This window comes from Homo sapiens, chromosome 18 (genome assembly GCF_000001405.40).
Source record: "Homo sapiens chromosome 18, GRCh38.p14 Primary Assembly".
NCBI classification, from domain to species: Eukaryota; Metazoa; Chordata; class Mammalia; order Primates; family Hominidae; genus Homo; species Homo sapiens.
Genome location: NC_000018.10, coordinates 10,338,528 through 10,353,658, shown reverse-complemented (window position 1 = coordinate 10,353,658; position 15,131 = coordinate 10,338,528). Strand labels below are relative to the sequence as shown.

Here is a 15,131-nt window from a genome sequence, read left to right as displayed (position 1 = left end):
TTAGGAGAATTGGCACCAAAACAGCATAGTTTACCTCTTTCTATTTTTAAGCAATAGATGGTTCTTTTAAATGACAGTGATCCACATTAGAGAAGATTGGGTCAGGGTTGGATAAAGAATCAGAAGACATTAAACAAAGAGGAGAAGACAACAGCTTCCAGCATTTTCACAATGACTTTCATTTCAGAATTTCTAAGCACCTTATAAACAGATGTTGAAAGGAGACTTAACCGATAATTTGCAAAATAGAGAAACTAGAGAAAAGCGGAAAATAATGAAAAGAAAAGCTTACATGCTTTTTGGTAGAGTTTGGGGGCTCTGGCCTTAAGATAGTCCCTTTCTCTTACTGCCTCTGGCACCCCAGGTCCTTCTCTGATCAAAGGCTGCCTAAATTGCCCCTTCTTGGTATAATTTGAGAAGGCATACTTAGAGTCCCTCCGGATTCTTTCCATCATAGCCCACCAAGGTGTTTAAAAGCTTACCACTGAAGAGTCGTTTATTTATCCATTCTTTTGTTCAACAAATTCTTATTCTGTGCCTACTAAGTGCAAGAGTAGCATGACGGCCTTGGCGTGAGTCGGAATACTTCCCATCTCCCAAGACCATGGCCAACATCTCTAGTAGACGTTTCTTGAAGGATGGAGGGCAGCCATCCCAAGACACTCTCCTTTTGTTTATGGTACTCGCCTACTTAGAATCCCTCAATGGCTGCCCTCCTACTTAAGATAAAGACTTGAGTACTGAGTGGGGCCCTGAAGCCTGGATGCTCTGGCCCTGCTCCCTCTGCTGTCTCCCTGGAGGCCAGCCTCATCCTTGCTTCATCTTCCAGCTGCATTCTCTACTGGGGCCTCCACAGAAGGCAGGCCTGTATTCTTCCTGGCTTTAGGACCTTCAACCTTGTTGTCCTTATGCCCAGAATAGTCCATGATTCCCCCCAACCCCTGCCATGCACACACATCTTTTTACCTAGTTAACTCCTATTTACCTGGTTCAAGTGTTACCTCCCCAGGAAGCTTCCTTCAATTGTCCCTGCACCTGGTCAAGGTCGGGCCTCCTCCTCCTCACCTCCCGAGGGCCTGGTCCTGTTCCTGCCAGCACTAATTGTGGAGTATAATGAGATTTATCTCCTATCATCTGTCTCCCCCGACAGAACACCATAGCATGTTGCCTGGCTACATCATCCTGGAGCAGAGCTTGATCCCTGGCACTCAGCAGGCATTCAGTTAAAATTCACTGAATCAATAATTATGAGCATACACATGGAATAAGTATATCTCATTGCTTTCCAGGCTGAGCCTCAGGGGTTAAGGACAAAGTGCAGCTGAAAGAGCATACAATTCGAAGTCAGACAGGGACAGGGACAACAACAGCCCTCACCCACTGCCCATAGGACCCTGGGCGAGGTGCCTGGTGACAGGGAGTGCTGTGTGCCAGAAACCAGGCTGAGTATTTCCTATATACTCCCATTTAATCCTCACAACAGCACCCTAGTTTGATATTATTATTTCTATTTTAAAGATCACCAAGTTGAGAGATTTAGAGGTCATGCAGCTAACTAAATAAGTGGCAGAGATAGGAGTGAAACTCATGTCTGGCTGGTGCCAACACTGACGCCCTTGAACACCACCTAGCTTGTTACCATGTGTGAGCTTGCACTTTTCAAGAATTCGGTGAGCAGCCACCTCGAGAGCTTGTGTCTTACAATCTTCTCTTCTTTAAGTCTCTCCACCCATTTTGTCACTATCAGATAAATTCCTAAATTCAGCCGGCTACTAGGGATAAATACTCCCTAGGGTTAGGTAGGGTGGAATTATAAATTTGTTGAATTCACAATTTTTCCATTAGTTTCAGTTAGCTTTTTCTACACACCAAACTACCCCTAAAACGTATTGGCTTCAAACAACAGCAGTTTACTGTTTCTCACAGTTCTGTGACTTGGCTGGGTGACTTCTCGGCCTTGTGTCACCAGGCTCACTCATGGGCTCCATGCAGCTGGAGGGTGAGATGGGCTGGAGGGTCCCAGGAGACCCCTCTCACATGCCTGACAGCTGTGCTGCCTCTCCGCTCTCCTCCCTGCAGTTGCCCATCCTCCAGGAGGCTCGGCTGTCAGGGCACGACAACAGGGTTTCTTGAGGCCTAGCACTGGAAATCTCATAGCATCACTTCCAGTACATTCTGTTATTTAGAGCTAGTTACGAGGCAGCCCAGATTCAAAGGGTGGGAGAATAGACACCCCCTGTTGAAGGGAGGAGTGCCAAAGTCTCATTGCAAAGGAATGAGAAATTGTTGTGAACATCTTTGAGTGTAAAATACCATGGCATATGATGGAGTAGGATGAGGTCACTAAAAATAGTCACAAAGCATTTGCCATCAATATAGGAAAAGCACTGTGAAAAATGGAGGAACAATGACATGTATTATTGTCATAGCAAAGTTTACAGGCAGAGAAACCATGCGTAGACTGAAGTACAAAACGAAGGAATGAAAACGCACAAATGAAAGAGAAAGAGAATGGAATTCCACCTCAAGGTGTTTCCAGTACTTGTAGCAGCAGGTAGTGGCGGAGACAGAGTCCATGCTGACCCCTCCTCTCCGAGGACTGCCCGGTGTGGGGGCACACACCTTCATCCTCTTCCCAGGAGAGCTCGTCCTGAGTTCGGAGGACTGGGCCTGCTAGCCTCACCTCTCCTTCATTTCCTACTGTGGGATCCTCTCTCTCCCCAGCGTTCTCCATCCTCCCTAAGACAGTAGCCAGCTTCAAAAACTGGTTGGTTGCTGTTCTGGCAGTATTTGCTCCCCTTTCCGATAAAAACATACCAGATCCACACGTCAGCTACCCAGGGAGACTGTCCATACCGCGCAGCTTGAGCTGAGGTGCCAGGGACCCCTGGAATGGGAAGGAATGCAGCCCGCACTGGAAAAGCCCTATGTCCAGACACCCACAAAGCCTCCCCCAGGCCTCTCTGGGACTGTCAACTCCTGGTGGCTCGGCTCAGGGGAGCTGCAGAGAATCTGCCCTCAGACTGCTGAGAAGACACAGCCTGGAAAAGGCGGCAGAGGCTCCTTTGTCATTCACACTAAATATCCCTTGGATTGAAATCCAGATCTCAGTTTAGATAAAAGGGCTACTCTTGCCTGTAAGTTTCTCTGGGCAATTGTTCATTTATGAAATGAAGACCTTCTTTAAGGCCTCTGTAAAAGTTTTATCCTTTCTTCATAGCGTCTTCAAACTTTATTGCTGAGGAGGCCTGGCACCATTGCAGCGCTCCCAAAGCAATCCACTAAGGTGCCCGGGGTGGCCACAGGGCAGGGCGCCCCAGGAGGCTCTGGGCTGAACCCGAAACTTTCACATGTAAGACACTTAGACTACGTTTTACATTTCTATCAAATAATGACTTTGCAGGAAGGATATCTGATGTTCTCTGAATTCCTTTGCGCCTTCATATACCCCCGAGTTTAAAAGTGTCAGATTGAGAAACACAGAGAGCAGAATCTGTCCCTTCACAGGCGAGAGCTTACAGGTGGGGCCCTGAGACCCTAGGGGCTGGATGCCTCATCTTGAGTCACGCATGGAGTGACCTGGGACTCAGCTGAGGCAGCCCCCTGTGCTGACCCCAGTCTCCCCTCACAGACCCCAACCTTAGGGTCTCCGCTCAGGCTCTGAGTGGGGTTTGGTGGGAGAGAAAGGAGACTTGTAGTAATATCTTCCAGATGTCAAAAAGATGACGTTACTTCTGAAGTTTAATTGCTGGTAATAATGAAGGGGCTGAGAAACACAGGGAGTGATTAAAGTTTTTGAGTAAAGCAGAGGTTCGGGCTTAGTCCGTTAATGACATTGGCAGGGGCAAGGGACAGGGGCTCCAAAGACACAACCACCTACTCTTTTTTAAAAGAATGTGGCTTTGGTGACAGTATTTCATAAACCCACAATACAGCCTGACAAAGGAATCAAAAGCATGCTTTAAAACACCCATCACTTTGGACTTAGGAATTTATGTTTTCTAACCCTGAACAAAGGAATAAAAATAGATCTATATACTTATATGTTTTAAATGGCCTTTTGGAAAAGAATGAAAGTGCGTATAATTGGGACCCTCCCAGAAGGTCTGCCTTATAAATATGCCTCGAGAGACAAAAATGATTTTTTTTGCCTTGTTGTATACATAAGTTTGTGGCTTTTAGAAGTTTTCATTTTGCTACAGGCTCATTTCCTTGGTCAAATCACTGAACTCCCATGGTTTAATTCCTTTGTTTGTAAAATGGTTGAGTTTTTAAAAACTGCTATAGACCTTAAAAAGTGTGAAATTCTAGGAATCTATGCCTGCCTAATTTATTTTCTTTCAAACAGGCCTTTCATATTTTATTTAACAAATTATTTTATTGGTAAGTAGAAGAAGAAAAGCTGAAGAGACATGCTTGTGTCCCACCAGGGCTGTGACTGTGACCCCCATAATCTCAGTGAAGGCAGCACTTCCATCAGCATCTAGACAGGGCTTGGCAAACGGAAGGCACTCAATCCTGAATGAATGAATGAATGAATGAATGAACCTGTCCATATCTGTTGTTGCTACGTGTGTTAAAATCCAGGAAAAGTCTCCCCCCAGCCCCCAAGGACGTACATCATTGTGTTAAAATACTTTGTAAGGTTTCCAGGTGGAGCAAAGTGATCACCCTTACACATTCACAATTTATATAATGAACGAACATAAACTGATTTTTATTTTATGTTTCAAAGTAATGGAAGAAAATTGCTAAGAAAATATGGAATTTATTTTATGACATCTTGGTATGTCGCTGGCTAAAATATGTTTAACAGCTTTAGCAGAATTGATATGTAATTCACACTATATAGTTCACCCATTTAAAGTGTGTAATTTAATGGTTTTTAGTAAATTCACAGAGTTGCTCAATCATCCCAATAATCTAGTTTTAGAACAATTTATCCTAAACATTTTCCTAAAAGGAAACTTTTGCCCCTTGGCAGTCACTCCTCAACCCCTCTCCCCTCCCCTTCCCACTCCTCACTCCCAGGCAAACATTAATCTACTTTCTCTGCAAATTTGCCTATTCTGGACACTGCATATAAAGCAGAACTGAAAACAAAGGACCTTATTTTAACATAATTCCCACTGTGGTCCATCCATCCAGTCTTTATGGATACAGATATGCATATCCATGTTCAGTTGGCCCTCTGCATTCATGAGCTCCACATTTATGGATTCAACCAAACATGAATCAAAAGTTTTTAGAAGAAAAATATTCCTCAAAGTTCCAAAAAGCAAAACTTCAACTTACCACGTGCCGAGTACCATGTTAAATCCATGAGAGTCAAGCGATGTGTGGGCATTGTATTAGATATTATAAGTAATCTAGAGATGATTTAAAGTATATGGGAGAAGGTTTGTAGGTTATATGCAAATACATTTTATATTAGGGATTTGAACATCCACAGATTTTGGTACCCAAGGTGGCTCCAGCAACCAATCACCCACGGATACGAAGGGATGACTATGTATATCTATATTGAAGGAAGCACACATAAATATTACAGTTCATGTCTTCAATCATTTATACTTCTCTTTATTTTTTCCAGCCTTTTGCACTGATAATATTAGTTCTCTATCAAAAGTTATTTTTTGAATTTTGAAAGTTTTTAGAACATTTCGGTAACATTGATGCTGTGAAATGATTACAAAGGATACTTAGGGTCCCCATTTTATGAAGTAGTGAAGTATTAGAGTTATGTGACAAATGTTTCTACTTTATGATGGACAGCTTTACTGAAGCTGAGCAGCTTTACCTTAGAGTACATATTTTCCCAATCCCTTTTGTAAACTTTATTTCAGCTCATATACAATATGGTTTGTAAAAGGCTTTTAAATTCTTTCTGGAATGAGGCTCAATATAAACACAAAGGCAAATAAAGGATGATATTGATCAATTTAGTACAGACGCATTAGCCAGAGATGAATGGGAGAGGAAAATCATCAGGAATTAAAACCAACCTAGAGCTAAATATATCACTTGCCTTTTCAGATTTGTAACAAGGAAAAAAGTTGAACAATTTGTATTCTACCTACTTTCTTTTCTTGTTTCCTTGAGGAATTCCTTCTAGGTAAGGAAATAGCTCAAATTTGAAAACCAGACCAACTATACCAGAATCATGTATCATGTACTGTGTTTATTAAAAATGTGAGACTTGCTGAATCAAAAGCTCTGGAGGCATTGTCCAGGATTTTCTATTTACACCCCAGGTGCTTCCAGAGTTCAGGGAAGTTCAGGAACCCAAGGATAAAGGCAGATACAGGCTCCGGCCCACAGTCCTCGTGGGCCCCTCCTGCCTGGGGATGCGTAAGTGGACCAGGTGACTGTGTCCGACAATCATGAGCGTCCAGAAGGCTCACCTTGTCCCTCAGCCCGAACCCCACACCCGAATCCTGCCCTCCTCCCCACCCCACCCACACCACCCCAAACTCCCAAGGATTTCTTCGGGCCTAGGGATGGATTTCATCAGCAACATGGATAATCAGTGTTGGTGGGTGAAAAACTAGTGGCTCCGCCACAGGGCTGCATGCCTGCTTCATGGCATTATTCCTAGGCACGGCCACGTGGAGGCTTGCCCTCTCACCGGGGTTGACTCCTCCAGGATGGCCTTCCCCTGCCACAGCCTGGGCCTCCCAGCGGTCAGTTGTGGGCCTTTCTGCACATGGCCGAGGTCTCACCAGGGGCACAGCATCAAGGGCTGAGATTGTTTCTGGCTTGGCCTTTGAGAGAAACGTTTCATTCTCAGGCATGAATGCAGAAAACAAGTAAACACAAGTCGTTTGCCAAAGCAAAAAATGCAAGCAAGGCTTTCCTTAAAAATCTATTTCTATTTCCATGTAAGCGTCCTTGTCATATTATGGTTAACAAGAAAAATATCTTGAACTGGGATTGATAATTTTGTAATTACCACCGTGCTTTTAGGTTTGTACACGAAGAAAAAAAATGCATTGTTTCTTTATCAAGAGAAAGAAATCTGCAGGCTGTCTTGGATTGGATTGCAAGTTTGTGAGTGAGTTGTGGGATGTGTGTGTGTGTGTGTGTGTGCCTGTGTGTGTGCGTGTGCGCGCAAGTTCATTTTGCGTGTTAGGTGTGTGATTCCCAAGGCTCTTCCTAGCTCCAAGATTTTCCACAACACACCAGCAACTTTCTTAGGCTATCAAGGGGTTTTCCTTCTTTTGTCCTAGAAAATGGATTTACTTCAAAGCAGATAAAATTTGCTTTTTTGAGTTCTGAAAAAGAAAGGGCTCTGGAATGATTCGTTTCTTATGCTGATATCCTTCCATCTTCAGACATCTGAGAGGTCTTTTTCCTCTTCAAACGGGATGTTTTGTTCTGGTGGTCCAAGCGCTTGAGTGTGTGTGAGTTGTGTATGCTTGTGTATAAGCTGTGTGTGGAAGAGTGAAGAGTGTGTGTCAATATATGTGTGAGTATGGATGTATATATACAAGTGTGTGCACCTGTATATATACTAAATTTAATAATGGCTAGAAAATAATCCTGAAGTTAATAATATCTAGAAAATACAACTGGTTTTGAGGCCTTTCACCCGCTGATTGCTGGCTCAAATTGCTGGAATCAGACCTAGGTCCAGTCATGTCCCCAGAACCTGGAGTTGGGTTCCCCTCTCCAGCTCACCACCGCTGGAGCTAATCACACCTGGTTGCCAGCACCCTGTGGCCCAGGAGCCCAGTCCTGCCTCCTCTCTGATGGTCAAGGAGGAGTGGTCAACACGGGTTCTCCTTCACATCACTGCCCATCAGGCCCCAGGCCCAGGCTAGATGACACAGGTTCCAGAAGCCCAGGACATTCACGCCCTGGACACGCAGGAGAAGTTCGGCACACCCCACACCATCGTGGTGCCCCTACCATGGCTGATAAAACTTAATAGAGGGAGAAGCTGTCAAATTCACAGAAGAAGTTACTAGAGAAAATGTTCTGAAATTAGGTGTTGTAGATATTTTCAAATGTGTTACGACTGCATCTATAATCACATGTAACATAAGACAGTATCTAAGCCAAAATGATACAGCACATTTTTTCAGTTCTCAAATACACTCTCCCTCCCGGTGTCTTAACATCTCTGAATTCAGGATGTAACTTCCGATCAATCAGTTTAACTGATAATATATTTTTATTCTCTTGAAAACATAAATATTAACTGATAATATATTTTTATTCTCTTGAAAACATAAATTAATGGTGTGTCTTCCAATAGATAGCATCTCAGCTTTGATAACACAGTGCCACATTAATTTATTTAAAGCTCAGTATCTCAGGATTATAGATACGTTCTTTGAAGCAGGCTTCCGCCCTTCCCATAGGAGATGTCACTGTCACTGGTGAGGAGGCCTTGTGATTAAGCAGAGGGCAGGCAGGACAACAGGCAAGCACACCCACTGCAGGGCCACGGGAGAGGTGCTGTCAGCCGCCCCACTCATCTGTCCGTATTCTCAGATTTGGGGAGGGCAGGGATGGAGCCTGTAGCCTCCTGTTCCACCCTGAGCGCTGGAATCCAGCCCCTGGTCTTGCAGCCTTTACCTGTTACTATGATGCCCAACCCAACAAAAGGGAATCCTTGATGCCAGGTGCTATGCTCAGCATTGTGCAGAATTCATCTCATTTGCTCCTCAAAGTGGCCCCTTGAGAGGGCACTCTTGGCACTTGCCTTTGCAGATCAGGACACAGAGGCTGCGGGAACTCAATAACCTCCTGTTCGCATCTTTCTCTGAGTGATGGAGTGGAGGGAGACCCGGCAGTCCCATGCTGGAGCCCACACTACTGCTGTTCCAAGTCTGATCTGTGGACCACGGGCACCAGGCCCATGGCCCTGGGTGCCTAGCACAGCCTCGAGTACATCCGGAAAGACCCCACCCCACCTCCCAGGCATTCTGCTATGGCCCAGGGCCCCAGCTCCCCAGCTTGAAAACTGCCCTTTCCTCCTCCTCAAGACTTTAACATTCCCACTCTCTCAGTCAGGCAAGTTCCGAAAAAGAATCTGATTAAGTGAATTCACACTAATCGTGTGGGACAGGAGGGCATCAGGAGTTTAATGCTCAGCGCTTTGCAGTTGTCAGAGTGGCGCTAACAGAGTAGTGGGGGAGCTGTGAGGAACGAGGGACAGCAGAGGGAAAGGGTGCACTTGCTGTAGATGGGACAGTGCAGGGCCCCTGGGGCTGATCACAGGGGCCGGCGCTTGATGGCTGGGTCCCTGTCATCCGTGGACTCGGCCATGCTGTCTTTGAACATGCACTTCCTTCCCTGGCCTCACACAGGGCAAGGCTGAGCACCAGTCAGGGGCTATGTGCGACGGGCAAACACACTGTTATCACCACTAAGGCATGTGCCCTGCTTGCAAGGGGCAGAAGCTGAGGCTGCACAGGTTCAGGGCGGTTCTCCTCGCTGCTGCAGACACCTCCAAAGCACCAAGTCTCCCTCTGTGAACTCACCATTTGAGCCACTTCTTTCTGTTACTGGAAATAATCCCCCCCTTCAAATTTGCTTTGCCACAGCAGGGCTAGTGGCCAACTTCTTCTCTGAGGCCCCTTGTCCAAGGTTCGTGCAGTTCCTGCAGAGAGTGGGCCACAGGGGCGTGTGGACAGTGCCCGATTGAGTGGCTGGCCCGCCCGCTGGGCACCGGCCAGTGCTCCCAGGGAACCTGCAGCCCGCCGGCCCCTCCAGCAGGGGAGGCCAGGCTCTGGTGAAATCCCTAGTGATGTGGTCACCCCCACTCGGCACAGGCCTGCCACAGAGTGCCCAGGAGGAAGCTGGAAACTCCGAGGTCCAGCCAGGAATGAGGCCAAGGCAGGGATGTCGCAGCTCCTGCCAGGGCACCCACCGTTGCTCTCTCCTTCCTTGTTCCTCACTCTTCCCTCCCCTGTCCACAACATTTTATTTTTCTGGGAGCCAGGTTGAATGGGTTCATTTTTCCATTGATATTTTCTCTGATGCACAGCCCAGCTCTGATGCCAAGTGGCCCCTTTTCTGTAACTTGCAGCTCCAGGAACGCCTCCGCCACCCCTTGGTCCTTGTGTGTGCTGTTTCTCTACCTGGACAGTCCCTCAAGGAGTCTCCTTTCCCCCAGTCTTCACTCAGAAGTCACCTTCCAGGCCACCCCATTCCCGCCTCCCCAGGCAGCACCTTAAATCCCTCTTCTCGGCACAGGATGGACACAGACATTCAGTCTATAGCAGTGTGTTAGTGCTAATGTTCATTTTTATATCCTGTGCTTATTTCTTCAAAGCTTACCAGGTTCACCCATTCATCTACTTTTTTTTTTTTTTGTGACGGGGTCTTCCTCTGCCGCCCACCCTGGAATGCAGTGGCGCAATCTCAACTCACTGCAACCTCTGCCTCCCAGGCTCAAGCGATTCTCCCACTTCAGCCTTCCAAGTAGCTGGGATTACAGGCATGCGCCACCACTGCCCGGCTAATTTTTGTATTTTTAGTAGAGATGGGGTTTCGCCATGTTGCCCAGGATGGTCTTGAACTCCTGACCTCAAACAATCCACCTGCCCCGGCCTCCCAAAGTTCTGGGATTACAGGCATGAGCCACCGTGCCTGGCCCATTCGTCCACTCTTAACATCAACAGCATTTATGGAACACACTCGACATGCCACTTATCTGCTCTGCAGCACACAATCCCAGCTCTGAAGATCAGATCACTACAGCCCCAAGTTTTCAGGGTCCAACCCAGAAGGGGGCATGCGAGGCCAGTACAGGGTTTGGAGATGGCTTTGCAGAGAAGCTAGGCCTCCCGCAGCAAATGTGATGGTGCAGGAAAATGCGTGCATGCTCAGAGGAGAGGAGGAAGGCCATTCCTACAGAGCCCGTGGCATGGGTTCCATTAAGGATGCAGCTGAGATTGTCCAGGTGGGAGAAGGTGAGGAGAGTGGGAGGGGCTGGAGAGGGGGCTAGCTGCAGAGGCACAGAGGGAGTGACACCCATGGGATTTTTGCACTTCTCAGATGTGAGGGAAGGGAGACCGGGAAGGAAAGACACCAGAAGGACGACTCCACAGACGCTAGCTGGGATGACTGAGTGTGTGACAGTGTTTGAGTCAGAAGATACAGGAGAAGAGGCAGGTTTGGGAGCAAAGATGATCATTCAGGCATGGACATGCTGAATTTGTGATGCCTGTGAGTCCCTAAGTGGAGACGTGCAGCAGGCCTTGGGAAATAGAGAGCTACCTCAAGAAAAGGGTTTCAGCTGGAGTCATGAGGTTAGGACTTTGGACTTATGAGTAGCAGCTGACATCCCTTCAAAAGAGCATGTCAAGTGGTGAGAAGGGCAAAGACAGAATTCTGAGTGAAATCAGTATTTACAAGTTATAAGCAGATACCGCTTGTGTATACAATGCTGGTCATATGTGGGCATGGACTGGAACTTCCTCCCAGCTGGAAGTCCTGAGATGGGAGTTTCCTCTCAGCTGTGCAGGAAAGCCCTGGGCTGTGGGGCCTGCAAGCTGTGAGCCCATCGTCTGCAGAGACATGGTGGGCCATCCCAGGCAGGTGCTTTCTTCCTCTCATTATGATAAAGAGGTCTGAGGACCTATGAGAGGAGGTCCCTTCCAGAAGGGTGTTGCAGGTTTAAGAATGGGTTCATCTTTCCTGGCAGTAGCCCAACACCAGGATCTGAACACATAACTGTCCGACACCAAACTCTTGTTCTTTCTATGACACTAAAGTCCCACGGCAGGACATGACATATATGTGAAAAAGCAAAGAGAAGCATGTCATATTTGCAGAAAATATTTGGTTGAATTTTATGTTATATTTACATGAACATTGTATTTACTGTATCACTCAATGTAGTGATCTCACTCTATAAAATAGAGTAGAGAGAATTTCTGTCTGGTATGAGCTATAACTCTTAGAAAAGGGACACCTGTGCCCTCTGGCCAGTTTGCAGTCCTTTGCAAGGGGGCGTGTGAGCATACCGGAGGGGTGGTCTGGTGGGTTGTGTGTTAGCTTGTTTTCATGCTGCTGATAAAGACATACCTGAGACTGGGCAATTTACAAAAGAAAGAGGTTTAATTGGACTTACAGGTCCAGTGGCTGGGGAAGCCTCACAATCATGGTGGAAGGCAAAGAGGAGCAAGTCACATCTTACATGGATGGCAGCAGGCAAAGAGAGAGTGAGGAAGACATAAAAGTGGAAACCCCTGATAAAACCATCAGATCTTGTGAGATGTATTCACTACTAGGAGAAAAGTATGGGGGAAACTGTCTCCATGATTCAATTATCTCCCACCAGGTCCCTCCCACAACACGTGGGAATTATGGGAGTACAATTCAAGATGAGATTTGGGTGGAGACACAGAGCCAAACCATATCATGGTGGGTGGGTGCTAGCTGGGCCTCGACAAGTTTTAGGAGAAGTGGAATAAACATGTTATTCAGTGCTTTGATTATAGAGACAAAAATGCTCTGTCTGCCTAATAACATCCCCCAGCCCACCTGCAAGGTGGGCCCTGCTGCCTGCAATGCTGGTGAGACCAGACTTGTCAGGGCATTCTCATAAGTGCCTCTGTTAAAATGCAGACGTCTGACTAGAGTCAGATGTTAACCACCAACACCTGTTATCAAAGGACCATGGACCGTTTATCAGATTCATGGTTAGGGGGTGGGAGAGGAAAGAAACAGTGGAAGTTTCCAAAGCAAGGGTCATGAGCGGCGCCTCCTTGGTCTCAGTTCAAGGGAGCCGCAGTGGGCTCTGCAGACACCCTGAGGTCAGAGGGTAAGTGGGAGGTGGCATGGCCACAGGGGAGGAGCACAGCCTGTGCAGAGCAGGAGTGGGGCTGACAATAAAGGGAACTGGGAGGGACCTGAGCTGTGGATGAGGATGCAGACCAGGCAGCCACTGGAAATGCAGAGAATAGAGATTTAGGAGTGACAGAATGGACAAGAGCATGTGGATGCCCAGGCACCTTTTCTTTTGGCCACGACCCTGTCACTCAGGTCTCCTTTGCAGGCCCTGTCCCAGGCCCCTGTGGTTGGGGTAACTCCTCTCCAGTTCATGGGTTGGGCTGCCCCGGGATTGCTGTCAGATGCCTCCTGGCCCTCACCGCATGTGCAGAGGCATCAGAGCTCCTTGATCACATGAGCTTACCCTCCAGCAGGGTTGGGCCCTGGGGGTGTTGGCAGCTCCCAGAGTGTACAGCATGGTCCTTGTCCACAGTGAGGGTCACTCAGCCCAGCCATGATGCAGAAGGAGGTGACAATGAAAAATCCCACGTCACCCAAATGACTTGAAGAAGCCGAGCTTCTCAACGACCCCACACCTGCATCCCTAGGAGCTTCTGGGAGCCATGCCCGACCCATGGATGGGGCTTTCTGGATATCTGGCACTGTCTCTTGCGGCCTGTGGGTTGAGCAAAGGCCCCGGGCTTCCTGGCTTGCGGGGCTAATTTTCTTGGCATTTTCTTTATTATTTCTTCATCTGGTTCCCATGGAAGGCTGGGAACGGCTTCCTCGTGAGCGTGGGCTGGATCACCTCCTCGGATGTTAGGTTACCTGAAAGCTGCTGCCTCCTTCAGCACCTGAGCAAGGGAAGGGGGAGAGGGTTCACTCCGGTTAGTGAACAAGCTGCCTGCTCCCCAGCATACTGGCTGAAAGAAAACCTTTTCCAGACAGGCCCAGACTGCCTCACACCACAGTTCAATTATCCATGAAATGAAGGGGACTTCTAGAGGCGAGGACATTTCTAGAGGCTTCTCCAGCAGCAGGCTGGCTGGCTCTGCTCCCCAACAGGGTCCTGAGATGTCAACAGCGTGTTGCTGGGAGTAGGGTTCCTCTGGGAGGTACCCCAGGGGTGATGGTCCTTCCTACATAGCTCACTTGGCAGCCGCCTCTCCAGCTGCTTATTTTATCACTTACCTGTTTTCTCAAGAGCTTCCTGAGGAGGCACCGGACAAGAGGAGGCAAAAAGAAATTCAGCGAAGAACAAGATGCTTTTAAAATAAGGAAGAGGAATGAGACCATCTCTAGTGCTAAGAGACACTGTGATACCGTAGCGGTGGGAGCAGCAGCTCTGGGCTCCACAACCCTGTTACAAATTCCCCATCTACCGCTCCCAGGCTGTGTGACTTAACTCTTTCTTGTTGTTGTTTTTAAATTTGAGGTAGACTTCTTATAGGCACAGCTGGGATTTCAGCCCAGGTTTGCACGTGTCCAGGCAGAACCTTTGTGACAAGACCATAAAGCTAGAGCCATCACCAGCCAAAGGTCCTGATGATGACACTCAGGACAGTGGCAGCTTCAACTCTATTTATGAAACTTTCCAGTTTTCACAGCCAACTTCCCAGACAGTGACTAGGAAAAGTCTAGTTTGCCCATGACTGAGGGAGTTCTTGGAATTGGGACTTTGATTTTTTGGTGTTTTTCAATAAATGTGTGTCCTTTTAAAAATAAATTTAACCTCAAAAGTTAGATCTTATTTTCTCTCATTCAATAAATGTGGAAGCTAAAAATCTGAAGTTAAACAACTAGTTCAGTTGTACATATAAAGCCACCTTGTCCTAAGCCTATTCCACGAATCTTTCATTTGTTAGAATCCATCCATCTAAATAACTATTTGTTTAAAAAAATTGGAGAAGAATGAATATCACAAGTACAAACCATTACCTTAGTGAATTACCAAGTATCCACATCTGGGAAAATCTTTCAGGGCATTGTGAGAGCAGGGATGATGATGTCTGCAATGTGCTTGGCCCTTCATATGTGTCTGATCCAGTTTACTTTCGGGGACATCCGTCATCACCATTGGAATCCAGACACACACCATGAAACGTGAGTATGAGAGCACTTAAATGGGATGACAGGCCGGGTGCGTGGCTCATGCCTGTCATCCTAGCACTTTGGGAGGCTGAGGCGGGTGGATCACCTGAACTCAGGAGTTCAAGACCAGCCTGGGCAACATGGCGAAATCCTGCCTCTATAAAAAATACAAAAAAAAAAAAATTAGCCCAGGCGTGGTGGCATGTGCCTGTAGTCCCAGCTACTTGTAAGGGTTGAGGTGGGAGGATGGCTTGAGCCTAAGAGGTTGAGGCTGCAGTGAGCCAAGATCACACCACTGCACTCCAGCCTAG

The 15,131-nt window shown here is 47.1% G+C and overlaps 1 long non-coding RNA gene across 1 annotated transcript in view, besides 2 other annotated features; it reads left to right on the top strand.

Annotated features, from left to right (window-relative positions):
• The window catches only part of LOC105371986 (uncharacterized), a 34,569-nt gene extending 19,736 nt beyond the window's left edge, over positions 1-14,833 (top strand). Inside the window, exon 3 of the long non-coding RNA XR_001753347.1 lies at positions 14,711-14,833. This is a non-coding gene — a long non-coding RNA (uncharacterized LOC105371986). The remainder of the gene's footprint in view (positions 1-14,710) is intronic.
• Positions 8,345-9,171: an enhancer, noted in NCBI's record as "H3K4me1 hESC enhancer chr18:10344485-10345311 (GRCh37/hg19 assembly coordinates)". NCBI's record gives its function as "activates a minimal SCP1, AML or CMV promoter by ChIP-STARR-seq in naive H9 embryonic stem cells {active_cell/tissue: H9 hESC(naive)}" and the evidence as "EXISTENCE:reporter gene assay evidence [ECO:0000049][PMID:30033119]".
• Positions 9,172-9,999: an enhancer, noted in NCBI's record as "H3K4me1 hESC enhancer chr18:10343657-10344484 (GRCh37/hg19 assembly coordinates)". NCBI's record gives its function as "activates a minimal SCP1, AML or CMV promoter by ChIP-STARR-seq in naive H9 embryonic stem cells {active_cell/tissue: H9 hESC(naive)}" and the evidence as "EXISTENCE:reporter gene assay evidence [ECO:0000049][PMID:30033119]".
• Positions 14,834-15,131: the final 298 nt, after the last annotated feature.